Below are 22,774 nucleotides of genomic sequence, written 5' to 3' on the forward strand. Positions count from 1 at the left end.
TAATTTATAAAGAAAAGAGGTTTTAATTGGCGCATGTTTCCACAGGCTATACAGGAAGCATGACTGGGAAGGCCTCAGGAAGCTTACAGTCATGGCAGATGGCGAAGGGGAAACAGGCATGTCTTCAACCATGGCTAGAATAGAAGGAAGAGAGAAAGTGGGAAGGTGCCAAACACTTTTAAACAACCTGACCTTATGATAATTCACTCACTATCATGAGAACAGCACCAAAAAGAAAATCCACCCACATGATCCAATCACCTCCCACCAGGCTCCACCGCCAACATTGGGGATTATAATTTGACATGTGATTTGGGTGGGGACACAGACCCAAACCATATAAATGTCATAATCTAGAAGTCCCAGCTCCTGTGTAATTAAATCCCTCTGCTTCTTGAGTTTCTATTTCTGAGCCATTCCAAGAATTCTTCTAAGATTAGAAGGATCTCTTCCCATCAATCCAGCAACTTCCAGGTCAGTTGGAATCTCCCAGCAAACTTCAATCTGGTGATAATTGCATGAAACAAATGAGACTGGCTGGGTCAAAACATAACATGTCAGGTTTCTTTAGGGAATTCAATGGGATTTCTTCTGTGGACTTTAGATTTTTTCTGTTCCAGGGATTTCATTACTCTCCTATGTTCACCAAATCCTACTTCACTAATTCCCGCCATGTTGGCCCTGTCCCTACAACAGGGCTTTTACCTCTATTTTCTGTTTGGTCTCCATATGTAGCTCTAGACATGGATGCCTGCTCTGAACCCCAGCATGGCAGCACAAAGTGCATTCACAGTACACTGGTACCACTTGAGCTCACTGCATCTTACATTGCATTTTTACTACTGTCCTGAGTCAGATGAGACAGAACACTCATACACACAAGTTATATGCAACAGGTTTATTCATTAGAAATACACAACAAGGGACAACTAAAGCCAAGGATTCATGACAAGCCAGTCCCCCAAGGCTCAGGAGAGCTTCCCAGGGTAGATGGAGTCTCATCTGTGCATGCCCCACTTGTACTGCAGCCGAAGGACCCCAGAAAGAAGCCCACCCTGGGTTTTATACCTGGGAGATCGATGAGTCACTGGGCTAAAGCACCAAAGGACATCTGAGGGACAGGTACAGAGCCCAGGCTGTTCCAGCCAACTCCTCCTTGTCAGAAGATATTGCATTCCCAGCAAAGTCTAAAGTTATTCTTGACAACTACAAGTGAGAATGGCAGAAGAGCCGCGTCAGTCCACAGCCACCCAGCAACCGTCCTGCAAGCAGCTGGTAATCTGACATCATTCCTGCTCCTGTCCACACCTCCCTGACAGCTCTGCTTTGTCCCCTGAGGTGGTCCAGACTCTAGATCAGAGAAAAGTGATCCTGGAGATGCATTAAAAGAAAGCCATATTCAGGAACAGGTCTTGGCCCAATTGACTTGGTCTATAAGGCAGAGGATTCAGAATTTGTTGAAAGCAAATGGGTATGGATTAGGGTGAGATGGGGTTAAGTACAAGTCTACCCTTGACCAGTTGTATGGTCTTGGGAAAGCCATTTGGCCTCTCTGGCCTCAGTTTCTGTAACTGCAAAATAGGGTTGAGAGTAGCACTGACTTCTTAGTATTGTGATAAAGATGGAAAGGCATGCAAGTGCAAGCACTGGGTACTGTGCTTGACACACAGTAAACTCCAGACTCCACACGTGTGGGATCAGAGCATGGGGCTGTATGGTCTTATCGCACACCCCTGTGTGGGCACATGTGCAGATGCTGCAGAAGCAGAAGAAACAGGACAGGCATGAGTCTGGCGGTGACAATTGAACCCAGCACCTCCCTTGGGCATCAGACCAGAGACTCACAGGAACTGAAGACGACTTTTCCCACATCACCAGCACCTGTCTTCCCCCTCTAGGTCCCCAAAGCCTTGGGCTCCACCCTGGAACCATGGCACAGTGGCTGGGCCTCCCGAACCTTTCGTACATCCTGCAGACAGAGCTAGTCCCATTTTCCAGTCTTCTTCACTTGGTCTCCAGGGCACTTCCTTGCTTTTCTGTCCCTGCCCCTCAAAACACTCTAGCCATTCCTAAAGTTTGCATGGAGGATACAAACACCTCCCCAAGTCGATCTTGTGTTTAAGACCACATCATTCCTAAATCAGGGTACTTACGGTCTGAGAGATCGTTTATTTGTGCAGGAGGAAGTCAAAGCTCAGAGAGAGAATCACTCGCCGAAGGTCAACTGCTAGTTGGCTGTCAAGCCAAAACCAGAGCATCCAAATGCTGACCGCCTGCCCAGTACTCCCCGCCAACCTGCTGTGGCTCCCAGACCAACTGCCTCCCACTTTTTTGGGAGAGTCTCCTGATGAGAACACTGCTTTTTCACTCTATCTGGGATGAAAATAGAACAAACTGACTTTGTAATGTCATGAAATATTAAGCTTGATTTTCCCAGCTGCTGACATCCAAAATTGCCAGCAAGCTTGAAAGCCCCAGTGGAGCCCATTGGCTGTGCTAAAAGAATCAGGGGCTTGCCGCTTGGGAAAGAGAACAGCCCCTCTCAATGGCAGGAGGAGACGGGCTGGGGGAAGGGGGGCCCGCAGAGCTCAGTGACCACCAGGAAGCCAGGGACAGGGCAACAGCGAATCAAGACAGATGGGGGTAAGGGTCTTCCATTAAAATTTTAAACCACAGGCACTCCATGACCAGGCATACTTGAAATGCCATCCCTGGGAGATGGAAGCCAAGAGGCTGTTAAGGTTATTGTGTGAAGTTGCCAAAAATGGAAGACATAATGCATCACTTGTCCTTTGGAAATTTTTTGAAAGGAAAGTTCTCCATGACATAGAACCCATTGTGCAAATGGGGGCAGGGAAATCAAGCAACATTTTCTCAGCAGTTTTCCTGAGAGTACCACCAAAGTCTCATCATATTTGAGAGGGTAGAGTTAGAAAAATCTCTAGAGTTAGAAACATGGGTGCTGGAGTTAGAAAATTCTGGATTTGGTCTCTGGCTTCATAAACTTTTTCACTGGGCAGGTCCATTAACCTCTCTGAACCTTGGTTGCCCCATTTGTAAAATGAGGCTAATAACACCACCCTCAAAGGGCTGTTTTGAGGATTAAATGGAGTGCATGACTGGGACTGTTGGCTCGTGCCTATAATCCCAGCACTTTGGGAGGCCGAGGCAGGAGGATCAGTTGAGGCCAGGAGTTCGAGACCAGCCTGGGCAACACAGGGAGACCCCATCTCTATGGAAAAAAAAATAGCTGGGCATGGTACATGCCCATAGTCCCAGCTATTCTGGAGGCTAAGGTGGGAGGGTTGCTTGAGCCCCGGAGTTCAAGGCTGCAGTGAGCTAAGATGGTGCCACTGCACTCCAGTTTGGGCAACAAGGGCAAGATTCTATCTCAAATAAATAAAAGGGGTACGTTATAAAGAACCTTGATGGGACCTCACCCTAAGTAAGGTCTTAGAAAAGGAGAGGGAGGGTCTCTCTATTTTGGAGTTTAAAATGGACTTTATGGTTTACTTATTTTCATGACAATTTTTCATATGGGGAAACTGAGTCCCAGATGATAAAGTGACTTCCCCATGACCCCTGACAGCAGAATTGAATTCAAGTCTTCTGATTCTCTGGAAATGGGCTTTCTCATATCAAGGAACACCTCCTCCCCAACATCTCCTCCCTTCTTTTCCCCAAAGCTCAATACCTCTTAAATATTCAGTATGAGGTGTGGGAGGGTGGGAGTATGGGAGAGAAAACAGACTGTGTGTTACTGTTTATGATGCTCAGCCTTTCAAGGCAAGGCTGATATCTAACCCTGCAAAGTAGATGATTCCTGTGCAACTTTCCCAAGAAATCTGAGTCCCGTGAGGGTTAGCATAGCAGGAAGAGAGAAAAAAGGGCAGAAAGACTCTTAGAACCAATCGCAGCAATGGCCAGGCACTGTGGCTCATGTCTGTAATCCCGGCACTTTGGGAGGCCAAGGTGGGCGGATCACTTGAGGTCAGGAGTTCAAGAGCAGCCTGGCCAACATGGTGAAACCCTGTCTCTACTAAAAATACAAAAAATTAGCCAGGCGTGGTAGTGCATGCCTATAATCCCAGTTACTCGGGAGGCTGAGACAGGAGAATCACTTGAACCCAGGAGGCAAAGGTTGCAGTGAGCTGAGATCGTGCCACTGCACTCTAGCCTGGGCAACACAGCAAGACTCCATCTCAAAAAAATAAATAAATAAATAAAGCAATCACAGCAAGATAAAGGAGCCATGCTCTGACACTGTTTTCAAACAATTGCAGAAGGAGAGAAGTCACAAACAGCTATGGCTGAATGTGTGGAACCAATGAGGGAGAGGAGGAATGCTGTGAACCCAGCGATGCAAAGCTGTAGAAGAGTCCGTGTGAACACACACCACGCATGTGCAAAAGGGAGCGGGGACCCTCGCGAGACTACAGACCACGGGATGATGGAGGTGTCATCTTGAGTTAAATTAAAGCAAAGTGCTCATGCTTTTTTTCTTCGTATCATCTATCTTGATGGGAGTTTTCTGATCTTTGCAGTGCCAAGTGCACGTAGAATTTAAGTGGCTGTTTTCATGCCCTTTTGTGTAGATCCAGGTTGTTTCCAACCATTAAAATATTTTCTCCTCTAAGAAGCTGGAGGATGGGGTGAAACCCCTCACCCCCACCTGCAGGTAATGCTAATTTTACTGCTATGCAACCACAGGCTCTGATCCCACATGTGTGAGGCACTTACTAGGGAGCACTCGGGGAAGATGCTTGGCCTCAGAAACATGCATTCTAGCTAGAAGGCAGAGGTGAGATTGTGTGCGAGTAAGAAATAAAGAGATGGTACTTAGAAAACCATGGAAGGAGGTGAAAGGGAAAGATCCTAGAGACAGATAAATTCAATTCTCCAGTATGTCAAATGGAGACACTGAGTGGACCAGAGAAGAGAAATGACTTGCCCAAGATCACACAGCCAGTTCATGGTGTGGTGAGGACTAGAACCTGTCCTTTTGACCAGTGTTCCGTGTGCTTATGCTACACTCTGTTTCTTCTTGTTGGTGTCAGGAAGGAACTGAGAAAGTTTCATCCATCTTCTTATGCAGACAAGACCCTCCTCCTGAGCCCAGACAGACTCCTCAATCAGAAAGAACCAGATCACACCTGTAATCCCAACATGTTGGTAGGCCGAGGCAGGTGTATCGCTTGAGGCCAGGAGTTTGAGACCAGCCTGGGCAATATGGTGGAACCCCGTCTCTACTAAAAATACAAAAATTAGCTGGGCGTGGTGGCCCCAGCCGGTAGTCACAGCTACTCGGGAGGCTAAGGTGGGAGAATCACCTGAACCTGGGGAGGAGGTTGAGGCTGCAGTGAGCCATGATCACGCCACTCCACTCCCAGGAACAGTGTGACCTGCTCTCACCATGTCTAATAAATTGCCGCATTAAGGATACTGCCCCAGGGGGTTGCCTTTCAGCCCTATAAGGCTGATGCTGCCCAAGTCGCCTTATATATCCATGAGCTAAGGCTCTCCAATGTCCCAGTAAACACAGATGTTCTTGTAACTTGGCTTCATGGCTCTTACCTTTTACCTTCAAACAATTGATCACCCCATATCTGGTCTGCTGGACATTGACCATGATAATGTCTGTTGGTAGATATGAGAAAAAATAAACCTTGCACATTGAATCAAAATGGTATGGTGAACCTGGAAGGCATTTCTGGCACACTGTGTCCAAGGAACCACAAAGAACACCCCTCATCCACAGGGCCATGCGGGAGGGTGTTTTCAACAGCTGGCATTAACACATGGGCTGACGGGGGACTGGTGGCCACCTCCCCTGGTGGGGGATTTCAGCAGCCCCCACTGGACTCCCACAAATGGCAGAAATCATGCTGGTGTGACCACGGCAGGCTAAAATCCTCCAAAAAAGGCTGTCTGCCAGGGGACTCCGATGATTTGTAATCAAATTGTGTTTCATTAAAGAGAAAGCATCCAGAGGTTTCCTGTTGGCTGCGTTCTTGCAAATTAAAGATAATGGAGTTAACAGAAAACAATTGTAAGTCAGATACCAACAGGTGAAATGAGCCCAAGGAAACTTCATCTCTTTGGATGCATGTATGTGGCGTGTGGGTCCTGCTTGAGCTGGTGGGAGGTGAGCTGGATTCTGTCTTTGCCCAGAAAGCATGGTTCACATCAAAAACAGGTCAGGTGGTCCCTAACCATGTAACTTTGGGCCAGATAGTCTCTGCCCCAACTCTAGTCTTTAAAACAAGAAAGATTTATAGGATGACCAGCAAAGTGACCACTTTGCCAAGAAATGGGAAGTTTCCCAGGTCATGGTACTTACAGTGCTATTAATTATTATTATTAATAAAATCAGGAAAATTCTGGACAAACTGGGATGAGTTGATCACCTGACTGGGTTTCCCAAGATTCCCTGAGTTGCAAGAACCCATAAGCCTGTAACGAATGTGTTGTAAGCCTAACAGGGTTTCAGGCACACAGAAGGGACTCCGCAAGTGCCTCCCCTTTCCTGTGATCCTGGCCAAGCACTGTCCCCTCAGCCTGTTCTGAGATCTCGGAGTTCCATGGTGGTGAAGCCTCCAGAAACGTTATCACCTGCCACCTTCACCACATATTTGCGCCCTTCATTATGTAGAGAATGCAGTTTGTAAAACAACAACCTGAAAAGGTTGGCAAACGTCTCTCTTCCAGCTGAAAATATGGAGGCGGAGGCCCAAAGCAGTTTTGTGATTTTTCTCGAGGCCACAAGGAGCTAGGATTCCACCACATGTCTGTGGACTCCAAGCCCAATGACTCATTGACCACGCCAGGCTGCTGTGTCTCCCCCCACATATACCCAGGCACCCCTATGGGTTCAGACACGTGAGCACGGGGCTCTAAAGTGCTGTATTCCCCTGACCATGAAACACCTGCTCACTGCCTGCTCCTTTTGTCCAGAGCTCCTCACTTCCTGGGTACCCACTCATAACTAGGCACCTCATTTACGTCACACCAGCACAATTTCTGCCCTTTGTGGGAGTCTGGTGGAGGCTACTAAAGTCTGCCACCAGCCCCTGGCCAGCTGATATGTTAATGCCCAGTGGAGGGAGGGGTGATCGGTGTCCCAGCAACCCCTCATCCAGGGGTCAACCACACTCCACATCATGCAACACAGGACCTTCCTGAATCATCGGGGTCTCAGTCCTTGCTCCCTCCTCACCCCCACAACTGCCCGGGAGTAAGGGAAGTACCTCAAAGGGAAGACAGGTAGAAGACGAGCAGGCTGCCCCACCCTGCCATGGCCAGAGGTTCCCGGGAGCAGAAACCCTTGAAGCCTGGTGTCCCCCGAGGCCCAAACTGGGCCAGAGAAACCCAAAACTCCAGCCAAGAGGGACAGAAACCCAGGAGGAAATGGGGCCTGTGAGGAAGCGGCAGCATGTGATTTTTAATTTACTTTTTCTTGCCCTGAGACAAAAATTAATTTGACTTGGGAAAAAAAAAAAGTAACTTTTTACTTGACTTTTAAAAGTAAAATTTCTGCAACTCTTTTTCCACTTAACAGAACATTTCCTCGACTTCTAAGGCATAATGTTAATATGCGCCAAAGATGGGGAATTCCCTGGGCTCAGCGCACATATCATTAAACTGATTTTTTCCTAATTTCCTAGTAATACTGGCTGGGTTATGCTAACAGGAGAGTTAACAGCTCATTTTGCTATAGGGAAGATAATAACAGGAAATGATCTTTAATAATGAATTAAACAGACTCCTTGGTTCCTGATTCTTTTTATTAGGTAAGGTCAATGGCATCTTAAATGAGCAAATCTCTCCTAGGCCAGCAACAAGATACGGGGAAAATTGGCAAGCCGAATCACAGGATAAGGCATGAGTGCTGAAGATCAGAATGCAGATGGCAAAGGGTCTGACACAGTGCAAAGTTCATGAGCTTTGGACTCACACCTGGACACCAACCCACCCTCACTGTGAGACCTTGAGCAAGACCTCACCTCTTCAAAGCTGCCTCCTGAGCTGTTCACAGGATAATAATTCCTACCTTGTGGAGCCTTGGAATCCATCACATTTGCCCCTTCAGTTTGTAGAGAATGCAGTTTATAAAACATCTGCCCATGCATATGTCAATCAGCTCTCAGAATAACCTTAAAACAGAACATCCAGACAAGATTAACCCCATTTTAGGACAAGGAAGGTCAAACATTGCCTAGGCCTGGCACTTGGCAGGAGGAACGACTAGGACCCTAAGGCCAGTCTTCTCACTCCAGTTTATTTCATCTATATTGTCCTTGTGGCCGGGCACAGTGTCTCATGCCTATAATCCCAGCACTTTGAGAGGCCGAGGTGGCTGGATCACCTGAGGTCAGGAGTTCCAGACCAGCCTGGCCAATTTGGTGAAACCCCATCTCTGCTAAAAATAAAAAATTACCCAGGTGTGGTGGTGGGTGCCTGTAATCCCAGCTACTCAGGAGGCTGAGGCAGGAGAATTGTTTGAACTTGGGAGACAGAGGTTGCAGTGAGCCAAGATCGCACCACTCCACTCCAGCCCGGGCAAGAAGAGCAAAACTCCATCTTAAAAAATAATAATAATAAATAAATATATAGAGAGCCCTTGTTCTGTAAACTAGTTGTCTCTTTTTTAATCACACAGATTTTTTTTTTTTTTTCTGAGACTGGGTCTCACCCTGTCACCCAGGCTGGAGTGCAGTGGCCTGATCTCGGCTCACTGCAACCTTCACCTTCCAGGTTCAAGTGGTTCTCCTGCCTCAGCCTCCTGAATAGCTGGGATTACAGGTGTGTGCCACCACACTCAACTAATTTTTGTATTTTTAGTAGAGACCAGGCTGGTCTCAAACTCCTGACATCAAATGATCTACCCACCTCTGCCTCCCAAAGTGCTGAGATTACAGGCGTGAACCACCATATCCGGCCTTAAATAACACAGATTTTTTAATAAAAAGTTTTTTCAGGAGACATCACTAACGTATGTATTTCTTTGTCAAATACGTGTTCTCTATTCCTAGCATAGATTTACATACATTAAATATATACAAAAATAGAAGAAGTCAATATAAACTAAATATCAACTGAAGTTCTAATGTTTTCTTGCAGGAAGAGGGAAATATGGATAAGTTGGAAGGATGGGGAGAGCCAGTTGTTGGCCATGGAAATCATGATTGCCTCATGGCTGGGAGCAGCTAGAACTGCTTTCTTTCACCAAAGAGGAAACAGAGGCGTGGAGGGGTTAGAGGTTGTCTCAAGATCATGCAGAACTCACCTCTCCCTGCCCAGTTCCCTTGCACTGTATGAAGTGGAATTGGTGTTGATGTCACAGCCTTAGGGAGCCACAGTGGGAGTTTGAGTGACGGCAGGGTGAGACACAACCTGCTTCTGAATGTTTAGCCCAGTAACTTACACAGGCATGGAGTTTCATCCCAGCCAAAGTGCTGGCTCACGTCGTCCTAGCTAAAGCCCATGTGTGGAGGTTCCGGTTCCCAGAAGTTTCCAAAGCGGAGGATGTAATTACAATGTTTTAAAGCAAACAAACACACACCCAAGTGGGAGGACTGCATATTTATTTGACTAATTAGAGGGAATTCACTGAGAGGATGTACAATAACATCAGCCTCTCTTTTTTTTTTCTTTTTGGTAATACTAATTGACATTTTCTTTTGACATTTTATTAGTAGCTCATCTTTATTTTTATTGTGCTCTCAATAAAGTACCAAGGCAAAGCATCGTACTCTCTGGCAATAAATGAGTGTGAATCATGCATCACGTAAATAGCAGTGTCTCGGGAAGCCGGAGGGGCAGAGCGCCAGTTATCAGCCTGATGCCGGGAGGGGAGGGGAAACCCACCCACGGGCATTTATCAGGCACAGACTGAGGCTTTCCAATTTGTTGCCTGGCTGCTGAGAGCACTGGCTGTGCTCAACCCAGTTCCCAAAGAGGCTGCTCTCAGCACTCCTGGGCCTAAGCTGATATTGCATCCTGATGACCAAGAAAAACACACATGTCAGTAGACATCCCAGCCCCTTCTGCCGCCTCCACGCGTCTGCTGTTCATCCCAAGAAAGAGGCAAGAAACTGTTGTCTCAGTCAGGACATTTAATACATGTTTTCTGAGAATCCAAACCTGTCCGGGCTCAGCACAACGTCGCTAAAAGAGCAACTTAGAGTCCCACAGATCTGGATTCAACTTCAGCTCTCTTAGCCTCCATTTTCCATTTGTAAAATGGAAATTAAATACCTACCTCATGGAGTTGTACTGATAATTTAATTAGAAAATTACACAAAGCTGCCGGGCGTGGTGGCTAACACCTGTAATCCCAGCATTTTGGGAGGCCAAGGTGGGCAGATCACTTGAGGTCAGGTATTCAAGACCAGCCTGGCAACATAGTTGAAAACTCATTTCTGCGAAAAAAAAAAAAAAAAAGAAAAGAAAAAAGAAAAATTTGCCCGACATGGTGGCACACACCTGTAATCCCAGCTACTAGGGAGGCTGACATAGGAGAATCTCTTGAACCCAGGATTGCAGTGAGCCAAGATCACGCCACTACACTCCAGCCTGAGCAACAGAGAGAGACTCCATCTCAAAAAAAGGAAAATTACTTAAAGCACCTAACGCAATGTCTTATGCAGGCATGTGTCGCAGTAAGATTTATTGTGGAAAACACAATTAGTCAAGGGACTTAAAACTAGGACATAGTAGTAAAGGAGTGTGAAGAGTTTCACCCCAAAATACTGCTCCCTGGGATAATGCGTGTTTTGTACTGAAGGTCCTTAGAAGGCCTTCAGATGCTAGAACAGACTTTTGCTAAAAGAGACAGATGCTAGAAGAGACTTTTCCTGATCTGCATAAAGACAGGATGGACCCACGAAGGACAGCAATTGTTTTTCCTCCCCAACCTTCCTGTCTCTAAATTCTCTACCTCTCCCACAGCACAGGCTGAAGCTCCCTTATTTGCCCAAAGAAGAAAACAATTACCTCTGATCCCTTCCCTGAAATTTCACTAACTGAACCCATATCACAGGAAGGAAAACCAAAGACTGTCTACACACCTACTAGACAGACTTTGGTCACAAACCATTGTTTGCTCTGCGGACCCAACCGATTTTGTCGCAGGCTATTGTATGTTCTTCAAGCCCACTGAATTCTCAGAAAAATCACTTACTATCCCCCTAAAATCACCCACACTTCCCCATCTCCCTTTCCCCTAAGAAAGCAGGGTATATAAGCATCTGTATCCCACTGATCAATCACTGGGATTCTCACTGTGTGCACAGTAGTCATAAATTTGTTTGCCTTTTCTCTTAGTAATCTGCCTTTTTGTGAGTTGATTTTTCAGCAAATCTTCTGAGGGCAAAGCCGGAAAGCCTTCCCTTTGCACCCACAGTAGATACATAATAAATGCCCCTAATAGACACCATAATAAAAACTCTTTTTCTTCCTTAAAGGTACCCACCTTTCTTGGTGGTGGAGAGAGAGGAAGTCCGAAACACAAATCACTGCAGTATATGACTGACTCCAACAGGTTAGGCAAGTCGGGAGCCACAGAAGGTCTTTGAGCAGCAGAGAGGGATGGCAAGAGCTGCACCACAGGCAGAGAAGCAATACCACCTGTAGCACTGAGCACTTGAAATGTGGCTAGTCCACACTGAAACATGCTGTAGGTATAAAATGCACACTGGATGTCCAAGATTGAGTGCCATAAAAAGAATATAAAATACTCATTAATAGCTTTACAGGCCAGGCACAGTGGTTCATGCCTGTAATCCCAGCACTTTGGAAGGCCAAGGCAGGAGGATTACTTGAGGCCAGGAGTTTGAGACCAGCCTGGGCAACACAGTGAGACTCTGTCTCCACAAAAAATAAAAAAAATTAAAAATTAGCCAGGTATGGTGGCTTGAGCCTGTAGTCCCAGCTATTCAGGAGGCTGAGGTGGGAGGATCGCTTGAGCCCGGGAGTTGGAGGCTGCAGTGAGCTGAGATCACGCCACTGCCCTCCAGCCTGGGTGACAGAGCAAGATCCCATCTCAAAAAAAAAAAAAATAGTTTTTATACTGATTACATGTTGAAATGATACTATTTTGAATATATTACATGAAATGAAATATATTTTTAAATGAATTCTACCAGTTTCCTTCTCTTTTTTAATGTGGCTGCTAAAAAATTCAAAATTATATACATGGCTCACATTATGTTTCCATTGGACAGCACTGGCCCTGGAATGTTTGCCGGATGTATCAGAGCACGGCTGGGGGCAGCAACAACATCTGGGCCATTTCATTCCAGCCAGACTGCTGATGTCCCCTTAGCCCCACCCTGCCTCTCCCACTGCACTGCTAGTTCACTGAGTAATTAACATGCCTTGAAGCAAAAAGCCCCGGCTCCTGAATGTGCTTGACAATGCTCAGAGAGTTTTACAAAGTTGTGTCAACAGGAAACATCCAGACAGTGTTCTCAAACACCCCATGTTATCCAGAGGAGGGATCCAGCGCCAAAGTGCCTGGCTCTTAGCCCCGTGATCTCGTGGCCACAGCTCCGTCCCAGCAGCAGCTATTTCACAAGGTAAATTAAAAAGCAACCAGCATTTTCCTCTCCAACTGGCACCAAATGGATTGTTTTTCTGTAACTATTTCCCTGGTGGAGAGCTCCCTAAAGCCTGCAGGATCTATCCCAACGGACTGCATGCCTGATGCTTCCAGGGATGGAGAATGCACAAAGCAGATATTGTTCCCCTGCACTTGGCTTTGGTCTGCATGCCCCAGGCTCAGACTTGAAATTCAAACCAACAATGCCGCTGACCTTCTGGGTGGGGACCTTGAAACTATGCCTCTCCTTTTCTCTGTCAGCAAAATGGCAATGCTGGGTTGCACGGTCTGGAATATTCTGGGAGAAGGCATGCTACCAGGGCAGTTAAGTGGATGTGTTCTGCAGTCAGAAGGGCCAGGGTTCAAGTCCCGGTTCTGCCACCAACAGGCCAGGCGGCCTGGGGCAAATTACTTTGCCTGTGTGAGCCTGTTTTTTCATTTGTAAAATGGGAATGCAGAGAGGGATGATCTCATGGATTGCTGGGTGGTAGGATTAGATAATGGGGGAAAGATATGTAGTGAGATATTTGGCACCTAGGAAGCACCAAATAAAGTCATCCAATAAATAAAGACTTCACAGTTTGTTTTGGAAGCATTTGTCCAAGCCTCAGAAGGCCTTGGTCCATGCTGGGGTCTCATATCTCTTCCAGCTGCTGCTAAGCAACTCGGGATGCTCAGATTCTGATGCTGCTTCCAGATCCAGAGGATCTGCACCCAGCAAAGGCAGGGACAGGGAGGGGCGAGGGAGAGGGCTCTCTCTGGGGATGCTTTCAAACTAGAAGGAAGCAAAGCTGCGACTGGCGGGTTGGGAGGGGGTCACAAATCTAGACAGGAACAATGCTGTCATTTCGTTTTAGAAATTCCTTAATCTTACTATTTTTTATTTACATTTCAGTAGTCACATTTTGAACATTCAATGTCTTCGGGCAGAAACAAAAATTTCTCAGAACTGTCAGTGACTGGGTGGCCCTATGGCCTCTTAGCTAAATTTGTGTTTGTTTTTTGGTGGTGGTGGTGGTTTTTTTGTGTGTGTTTGTTTTTTAACAGAGTTTCACTCTGTTGCCCAGGCTGGAGAGCAGTGGCACAATCTTGGCTCACTGCAAACTCCACCTCCCGGGTTCAAGTGGTTCTCTTGCCTCAGCCTCTCGAGTAGCTGGACTATTAGCACCCATCACCACATCTGGCTAATTTTTGTATTTTTAGCAGAGATAGGGTTTCACCATGCTGGCCAAGCTGGTCTCGAACTCCTGACCTCAAGTGATCAGCCCCTCTCGGCCTCCCAAAGCGCTGGGATTACAGGCATGAGCCACTGTACCTGGCCAAATTTGTGATGTTAAATAAATGCTCTCTCTCTCTACTGAAGTCAAGAGAAAAGCAAGATATTTGAGGCTTGCTTCATCTTTCTCTAGGATTTTCTTTTTTTCCTTATACCTATATTCTTATATTACATCTGAATCAGTTTTATCATGAACATCATACATAACTTCAGAATTTTTCCTCCTATTTTGAGGTAGCAAAGGTGACATTCCATTTCTAATTCATTCTCTCAGTATATAAAAAAAAACTCTAATATTTTCTTGAAATCCTCATGACCTAGATAGAATTCCTAGATAGAATTATACAACTAAAAATTAAAAGCAGTTATTAAAGTTTATTTTGTTGAATATTATGAATGCAGGTTCTACAAATATTGTAATTGTGATATAATCTAATTTCTATTATTCTGTTCTGTATTATTATTTAAATTTTATAAGCATTGCTTGGCTCAGAAAGGAAATAATATTCTTCCTAAAGCTATCTAGCTAATACTCTCAATATTTATATTAATTGTAACTCTGTCCCCCTATTTATTTGTCAATTGAAAAAATTTAAGATGATTTAGTAAATCGAATTAACTCTCATAATCAAAATTAATTATTGCAACACTTGACTCTCACAACAATTTATACTTCCAACAATTGATAAAATTTTAAAACAAAAAAAAAATCGACTGGGCACAGTGGCTCACACCTGAAATCCCAGCATTTCTGGAGGCTGAAGTGGGAGGATCACTGACGCCAGGAGTTGAGGACCAGCTTGGGCAACATGGCAAGACCCTGTTTCTACCCCCTCTCCCCCAAAAAAATCACTCTAGAATACTTTCAGAAAGCTTACCTATATTTGAAAGTGGATATTTAGATAGTAACAATGAATCCAAAAATATACCATCTCATATCATTACTTATTGTTATATAAATGATCACTCAATCATTGATGACTCACAACCTTACAGATCCCGGAAATGACACCGAACTAGGCGTTTGGCTGTTCAGCCATTCAAAGCTGAATACCAAGGTCAAAACCAAACCTTTTTTCATCTCTGTATCAGTTAAGGCCCAACCAGGGAAACAGAAATCACTTAAATTGAATTAATGTAGAGAACTGGTTATACAAGTAAAATGGCTAATTTTGTGCCAACTTGACTGAGCCACAGGGTGCCCAGATATTTGGTTAAAAGCTATTCTGGGTGTGTCTGTGAGGGTGTTTCTGGATGAGTTTAGCACTTGAATCCATAGACTGGGTAAAGCAAATTGCCCTCCCCCATGTGAGTAGTTCCCATCCAACCCATTGAAGGCCTGACTAGAACAAAAAGGTGGCATGAGGGAGAATTTGCTGTCTCTGCCTAACGTTTTCTAGCTGGAACACCAGCCTCCTGCCTCTGGACTTGGACTCAGGCTGTAACTGACACCATTAGTAATCCTGGTTCTCAAGCCTTGGGACTCAACCAGGGAATACACCACAAGCTCTCTTGGGTTTCCAGTTTGGCAACCACAGATCCTGGGTCTTCTCAGCATCCATAATTGTGTGAGCCAACTCTATGTTTGCATGTGTGTGTGTACCTATGTGTGTGTGTATCTCCTATTGGTTCTGTTTCTTTGGAGAACCCAGACTAATTGAACAAGTAATAGAAGAGTACCAGGGGACAGCGATGCAATCCAAAAGTTGGAAATAGCAGGAAACTCCCACCTCTAGGATGGAGGCACAGAGGGAAGAAGTGGGGTTACTGGAGCCCAGAGCTGGGATCACCCAATGGAGGCTGGAACCTGAGAGGACTTCCATGGCAGGAGCTGAAAACACAAAACCACAGAGGAGATACAACCACTGCCTGAGAACACACTGGAGGCAGAGACAGGGGGAGGAAAATGCTGGCTTCTCTCTTCCTCCTACCCGGCAATCTCCTAAGAGTGCTTCCCACTGGCTGAGCCCAGCTGGAAGCCAGCTGACACAGGAGCCTCTGGGGATCATCCCATTCCCCTGTCCTACAGACCAGAGTCAGGGAAAGGCAAGAAATAGACCTAACCACAAACATGCTCAGGACCATCCCTATAGAGTTTCTTATCCTCACAACAATCCTAAAAACTAGGTGGTTCCCAATTACCAGCTAAGTAAGTGTAGTTCGGAGAGGTAAAGTAACTCTCCTAAGGTCACACAGGTAGTAGACAGTGAAGTTCAACATCTCAGCAACTGTAAGACCTCCCCCCTTCACTTTCTCTATTTTTATTATAAAGCTAATACAGCAATTGTTGTAAAGAACCTAGAAAATCCAAAAATAGAGGAGAACTACTCCTAATCCTACCACTCAGAGCTACCAACATCGCAGATGTTTTCCTCTCCAGTCTTTCTTCTAAGCATAATAAACATCTTTCCCAGCAAAACTGGGATAACCTGGACATGCAGTTTCATGTCTTTGATTTTTCCATCTCTGTGGTCACAGTGAGAGGCAGAGTGGTAAACAGTTAGGAAACACTCAATGCCATGTGGGCTATAAGTCCTGGCTCATTGCCTTACTGGCTGCTGCTTCTCCATCTGTAACTTGGGGATTATTCTGATATTGCATCTGCACCACAAGGTTGCTGGGAGGAATAACTGAGTTATTCCTTGTGAAGTCTTAGAGCAGTGTCTGGCACATTATAAACACTATTACCATGATTATTATGTTTCCATGGCAGCAAAAATGCACACGAGCACCATTTTAAATGGCTGCATACCATTCCATTGAACGAATGGATGGACAGAAGTTATTTAACCACTTCCCAATGGTTGGACACTAGGAGTCTTTCCAAAGTTTTGCTACTATATCCAATGATAAATAACCTCAGCATAAATCTTTTCACATCTGTGATTTAACTGACTTTCATCCTAGAAAAGCAATTGCTAGATCTAACGATAGGAGCTTGTTTAAAGCTCAATGAATGGTGCTAAATTGCTCTTTGGAACAATCTGCACCGTTTCTATATCACTGGATGGGGAGAGACCCTGCAGCCTGGGCATTATCAAGTAGTTGTTTCAATGTTATTATTATTTTTGCATACATGCCAAGCAGATGGGCAGTAATGATAGCTGTCATTTTAGTCAACTTGTCTTCTCTTTAGCTACTCCAGTGAAACTCTTCCACCCCGTCTCTCTGCACTCCGCACCAACAACCATGTCTTTTCTGCCCACACCTCCTGACACAGACAAACCATCCATTTCCCAACCATCAGCTGAGATGCAGGGGAATAACTTCTCCCAGGGGACTGAGGTCGCTGAAGACACCAAAACATGGCCATCCCAAATTGCTCTTGGGACTTGTCAGCAGCAATGACAATGGCAAAAGGCAGAAAAAAAAAAAAGAGAGAGAGAAAGAGACAGAAACAGCTCTGCAAAGTATCTGGAAGAAAGGCTTCTGGGACCAAACCTCGAGAGACACCAGGACCAGTGGCACATTCTGGAGGCCAGGAGGTGCATTGCAGGTTTTCACCCAGCGGGAGGGGCAGGCAACACTTGGGAGATCCCAGTTGCCCAAAAGCCCTGCAGAGCCAAAGGCTCCAAGGCCACAAGTGAACAGGGATCAACCTGTGACTTCCAGTCAGGAGGCCAGGTTTCCAGCTGCCGCTACTTGGCTCCCTTGAGGGCAGCCACAGACTACTTAGGGTATTTTATCCAAATACCAATGAAAATAATCGCTTTTCAAAACTGTAGCTATAATTCATCTATTCAGGATAGAACCAAGACACTAACCCTGCAGCATGTTCCAGGTGCTCAGGGACTCTCCACAAATGTTTACAGAATAAATAAATCAACGTAGTAGGGAAAATTGGTTTGGGATTTGTCAAAAGTTCTGATTGAACTGAACTCTCTTGTCAAGACTTAAGAGATCATTAACAGAAGAAAAAAATCAATATGTTTTAGCTGACTGTGATGTGCAAGACGTTTTGCTAGATGCATGGAGACATTAGAGGAAAAAAAAAGAAAGGATGGTCCCTGACCTCAAGCTGCTCCGGTTAAGAGTGAGCCCTTGGATGCAAAGAGATTTGGGGTTAAGTCTCAAAAACCCAATTCAATAGCTGAGTGTGTGTAGGCAGTTGTCATCGCTTAGTCTTCAACCCTCAATTTTCTCATCTGTGAAATGGAACACTAACAATAATCACCTCCCAGAGCTGTGTGAGAATAAATGAGACAATGCTTGCAACATGCCAGGCAATGAATGAACAAAAAATGGCAGCTGCTCCTGTTTATTTTATTTGTATCAACAAGGATGGGAAGAGGCTGTGCTGATCACTTTGGCAGCCCCAGGTGAACGGTTTGTCTGCTCTATAGCAGGAAGACCAACTCCAGGCTTTATTAATAATTGGATTTAGGCGTCATCCTATCACCTTATATCTTAATTATAGCTGCAAAGAACTTGTATCTTTTTTTATTTTATTTTTCTTTAGAGTCAGAATCTGGCTCTCTCACCCAGGCTAAAGTGCAGTGGCACGATCTCAGCTCACTGCAGCCTCAAACTCCTGGGCTCAAGTGATTTTCAAGCCTCAGCCTCCTGATTACCAGGGACTACAGGCATGAGTCACTGCACCTGGCTAAAGACCCTATTTCTAATAGGATCATGTTCACAGGCCCAGGAATTAGGACTTAAGCATATCTTTATGGGGGACACAATTCAATCCACACTGGCCACGCCCTTCCAGCTGGCTGGCTCCTCCCTTTGCTCAATGTCAGGCCCTGCCCAAACATCACCTTCCCAAGAGGCTTCCAGACCCACCCTATCCCAGGCAGCCCTCACCACACCTCTTGCCCTCCTTTTGCTTTACTTGACTTTTCTCCAAAGAACTTGTCAGCACCTGCAATATTATGTATTTCATGTTTGTTATCTGCCTCCCTAACCAGTGCATAAACTTCCTGAGGGCAGGGATTAGTCTGGGATACAGCTGGCACTCAATAGATGTTTGTGGAATGACTGAGACAGTGGGTGATGACTGGATAGTTGCTCTGCTGGGACGCTGGGGACACCTGCACTACCTTTCTCCTCCCCGCCAGTTGCAAAGCTTCTTCTCATTTTGGGGACACTGTGGTAGTGGGGAGTAGTGGCCTCCTAAAGACATCTTCATCCCGGGAACCTGTTAATGTGACTGATAGAGTTTGCATATTTGTCTCTTCCCAAATCTTATGTTAATCGTAATCCTTAGTGTTGGAGGTGGGAGGTGGTGGGAGGTGACTGGATCATGGGAGTGGACCCCTCATGGCTTGATGCTGTCCTTGCCATAGTGAGTGAGTTCTCATCAGATCTGGTCATTTAAAAGTATGTGGCACCAGCTGGGCCCAGTGCCTCACGCCTGTAATCCCAGCACTTTGGGAGGTCAAGATGGGCAAATCACCTGAGGTCAGGAGTTTGAGACCAGCCTGGCCAACATGGCGAAACCCCACCTCTACTAAAAATACAAAAATTAGCCAGGCATGGTGGCACATGCCTGTAGTCCCAGCTACTCGAGAGGCTAAGGCAGGTGAATTGCTTGAACCTGCGAGATGGAGGTTGCAGTGAGCCGAGAATGTACCACTGCACTCCAGCCTGGGTGACAGAGCAAGACTCCGTCTCAAAAAAAAAGTATGTGGCACCTCCCTGGCACCACCACCAGCCCCTACTTGCTCCTGCCCCTGCCCTTCACCTTTTCCATGATTGTAAGCTTTCTGAGGCCTCCCCCGAAGCAGAGGTCAGCACCATGCTTCCTGTTCAGCCTGTAGAACAATGAGCCAATTAAACTTATTTTCTTATAAATTACCCAGTCTCAGGTATTTCTTTATAGCAATGCAAGAACGGCCGAACTGGTGACCTTACATGGTAAAAAGGAACTCTGCAATGTGATTAAGTTAAGGATCTCAGCCTAGCACAGTGGCTCACGCCTATAATCCCAGCACTTTGGGAGGCCAAGGCGGGTGGGTCACCTTAGTTCAGGAGTTCAAGACCACCCTGGCCAACATGGCAAACCCCCGTCTCTACTAAAAATACAAAAATTAGCTGGGCATGGTGGTGGGTGCCTGTAATCCCAGCTACTCAGGGGGCTGAGGCAGGAGAATTATTGAACTCGGGAGGCGGAGGTTGCAGTGAGCCGAGATGGCGCCACTGCACTCCAGCCTGGGAGACAGAGTGAGACTCCATCTCAAAAAAAAAAAAAAAAAAAAAAAAGTTAAGGATCTCCAGATGAGAGATTATCTGGGATTGTCCATGTGGGTCCCATGTGATCACAAGCACCCTTAGAAGAAGAAGGCAGGAAGGCCAGCGTCAGAAAAGGAGATATGATGGAAGAACCAGAGGTAGTGGTGATGCACTTTGAAAAGAGAAGGGATCCGAAGTCAAGGAGCATGGGCAGCCTAGAGCAGATGGAAAAACTAGGAAAACAGTGTTCCCCCAGAGCTTCCAGAAAGGAACGCAGCCGACCGATGCAATTTTAGGCCGGGGAGGCCCATGTCAGACTTCTGACCTCCAGATCTGTAAGATAAGAAGTCGGTGCTGTTTTAAGCCACAGCAGCCATAGGAAATGAATACAGAGTCCTTAAAGCTCTCTCTGAAGCAGCTTCCCCTGAGCCAGGCAGGTCAGCAAGGCAGTGAGTATTTGCAGGTGAGGAACCAGGGCCCAGAAAGGTCAAGCAGCTTGCCCCAGGTCACACAGCTGGGAAGTGGCCAAGCCAAGAGTTCAATCTGGTTTCTCTGGCTCTGGAGTCCTTGCTTTGGCCACAACACCAGATAGAGGGTCATTAAGCAGCTTTGCATGGCCTGTGAGACAGTCTCAGCCCTGCCAGAGCTCTCAACAGCCACCTGTCCCCGGGACCCACACCAAGATGGCTGTTTGAGGAAGGTTCTGTTTCTAACGGCTTGTCCTGGTAGAAGTGCACTTTGAGTGATATTCGTGGACACATCTGGGCCCCATGGGGTCCAAGCCATAGCCTGACTGTTTGGGTAGAAGAGTTGATGTGCTCCCCAGATGTCTTCACACTGACATTCTACAGGGCCCAACCTCCATGGGCAGCCCCAGAGCCCAGGAGCAGCTGCCCCGCCCCAGCTAGAGCAGGGAAGGAGGGATGGAAGCCCCCAGTGCTCGAGTGCCAGAGCATTCTCCTACCCAGGTCTCCTCTGGGTCTCCCAACAACCTATGGGGGCTTCTCATTACATCATTTCACAGGGCAGGAAACAGAAGCTTGGGGAGGATGCTAATTTACCCCAGGGCCCCACAGGGAGAAGGAAGAGCTAGAATTTGCATCCAGGCCCTGAGGAACTCAAAGACTGTCCATCCACACTGGCCCCAAGAACCCCACACCATGACTGTGCCAGCAGAGGCGAGAGGGTGGAGTGTTCACAAGATGAGCTACCCAGTCACCCACTCATGGTCAGGGCCATGGGCCTGGGGGTTCCTCAACACCATTCTATGGCTCTTCTGGAGACCCCATGTGTCTCTAAGGGCTATAGCATGTTTTTTAACAGTCTTCTTTTTTTTTTTTTTTTTTGAGACAAAGTCTTGCTCTGTCACCCAGGCTAGAGTGCAGTGGCGTCATTTCAGCTCACTGCAACCTCCACCTCCCAGGTTCAAGTGATTCTCCTGCTCAGTCTCCCAAGTAGCTGGGATTACAGGCAGGCACCACCATGCCTGGCTAATTTTTGTATTTTTAGTAGAGATGGGGTTTCACCATGTTGGCCATGCTGGTCTCAAATTCCTGACCTCAAGCAATCCGCCCACCTCAGCCTCCCAAAGTGCTGTCTAGGATTCCAGGCATGAGCTGCAGTGCCCAGCCTCTAACAGTCTTTTTGTTAATTTTTTTTTATTTTTAATTCCTGTGGGTACATAGTAGGTGTATATATTTATAAGTTACATGAGATATTTTGATACAGGCATACAATGCGTAATAATCACATCAGGGTAAATGGGGTATCCATCACCTCAAGCATTTATTCTAAGAGTCTTGAAAAGAACCTGGATCCCAGCTTCATTCTCTCTCTCTTTTCTGTACACACACACTTATATACACACATATATACACCCTTTCCCATGCATATTTACACCCACACACACAGAAACACACCCACTCACACAGGTATGCTCATACACATACTCACTGAGATACACATGTGCACACACATGTACATGTACACCTGTAAACATACAAATGTTCATGCACACACCCAAAACCACTCACAAGCACGCATATACACACGCACGGCCACACACATGCACACAGCACACGCATAAGTGTTCACACATTTGCACACACCTTTACACAGACTTACAGACATACATACATGCACATCCACCTACATGTGCACACACACCTTCCCCAAAACAAGCACACATACACACACTCACAGTTGGGCCGTGGCTGCTGTTTCTGAAACCCACCTGCTTGCTTATTCAGGAAGATGAAACAACCCCGGCCTATTGTTGACTCTCCTAGAAGAAAAACAGACTATAAAATCCTCAGCTTAACATCATCTAATCCTAGCTCCCCGCACATCGATTCCCTTCTGATGCTGCCATCGAGCACATCTATTTCCACGGAATGTGCATCTGATCTTGGAGAAATCACAGGATTAGTCACTTGACCTTACACATCTCCTGATCACCTCAAATGGGTCCCCAGGCTCCCCAGCCGCAGCCTGACACCATCTCTCTGAGCATTTCTCTAGCATGGCAGAGTCTCACCTCCTGCAGGAGGAGGAAGGCATGCACGAGCCATGAGCACAGAGGCCAGGAAGAGCTGCATCACCCTCACCTGCCACCACGGGCAAGGATGCCCCAGGATGACCCTGCAGTCCTTGGTTTCCTTCTGCAGTAGGAGGATAAAGGTCCTTGCCCTGCCCTCCGCACAGAGTGGAGGGATGATGTGGAG

The 22,774-nt window shown here is 46.3% G+C and overlaps 1 long non-coding RNA gene across 3 annotated transcripts; it reads right to left on the reverse strand.

Moving 5' to 3' along the window:
* Positions 1-22,465, reverse strand: LOC105371317 (uncharacterized). 3 transcript variants are annotated; one of them, XR_007065087.1, is made up of 4 exons: positions 22,285-22,465; positions 2,154-8,153; positions 1,069-1,206; positions 1-134 (listed from the first exon to the last, which is right to left on the reverse strand). It is a non-coding gene; the product is annotated as an uncharacterized LOC105371317 (long non-coding RNA). The 3 variants fall into 3 exon arrangements; XR_007065086.1 differs by lacking the exon at positions 22,285-22,465 and having other exon boundaries at positions 2,154-8,314; XR_001752241.2 differs by lacking the exons at positions 1-134; positions 22,285-22,465 and having other exon boundaries at positions 884-1,206; positions 5,575-5,637; positions 8,051-8,314.
* Positions 22,466-22,774: the final 309 nt, after the last annotated feature.

Source organism: Homo sapiens, chromosome 16 (genome assembly GCF_000001405.40).
Source record: "Homo sapiens chromosome 16, GRCh38.p14 Primary Assembly".
In the NCBI taxonomy this organism is placed as follows: domain Eukaryota; kingdom Metazoa; phylum Chordata; class Mammalia; order Primates; family Hominidae; genus Homo; species Homo sapiens.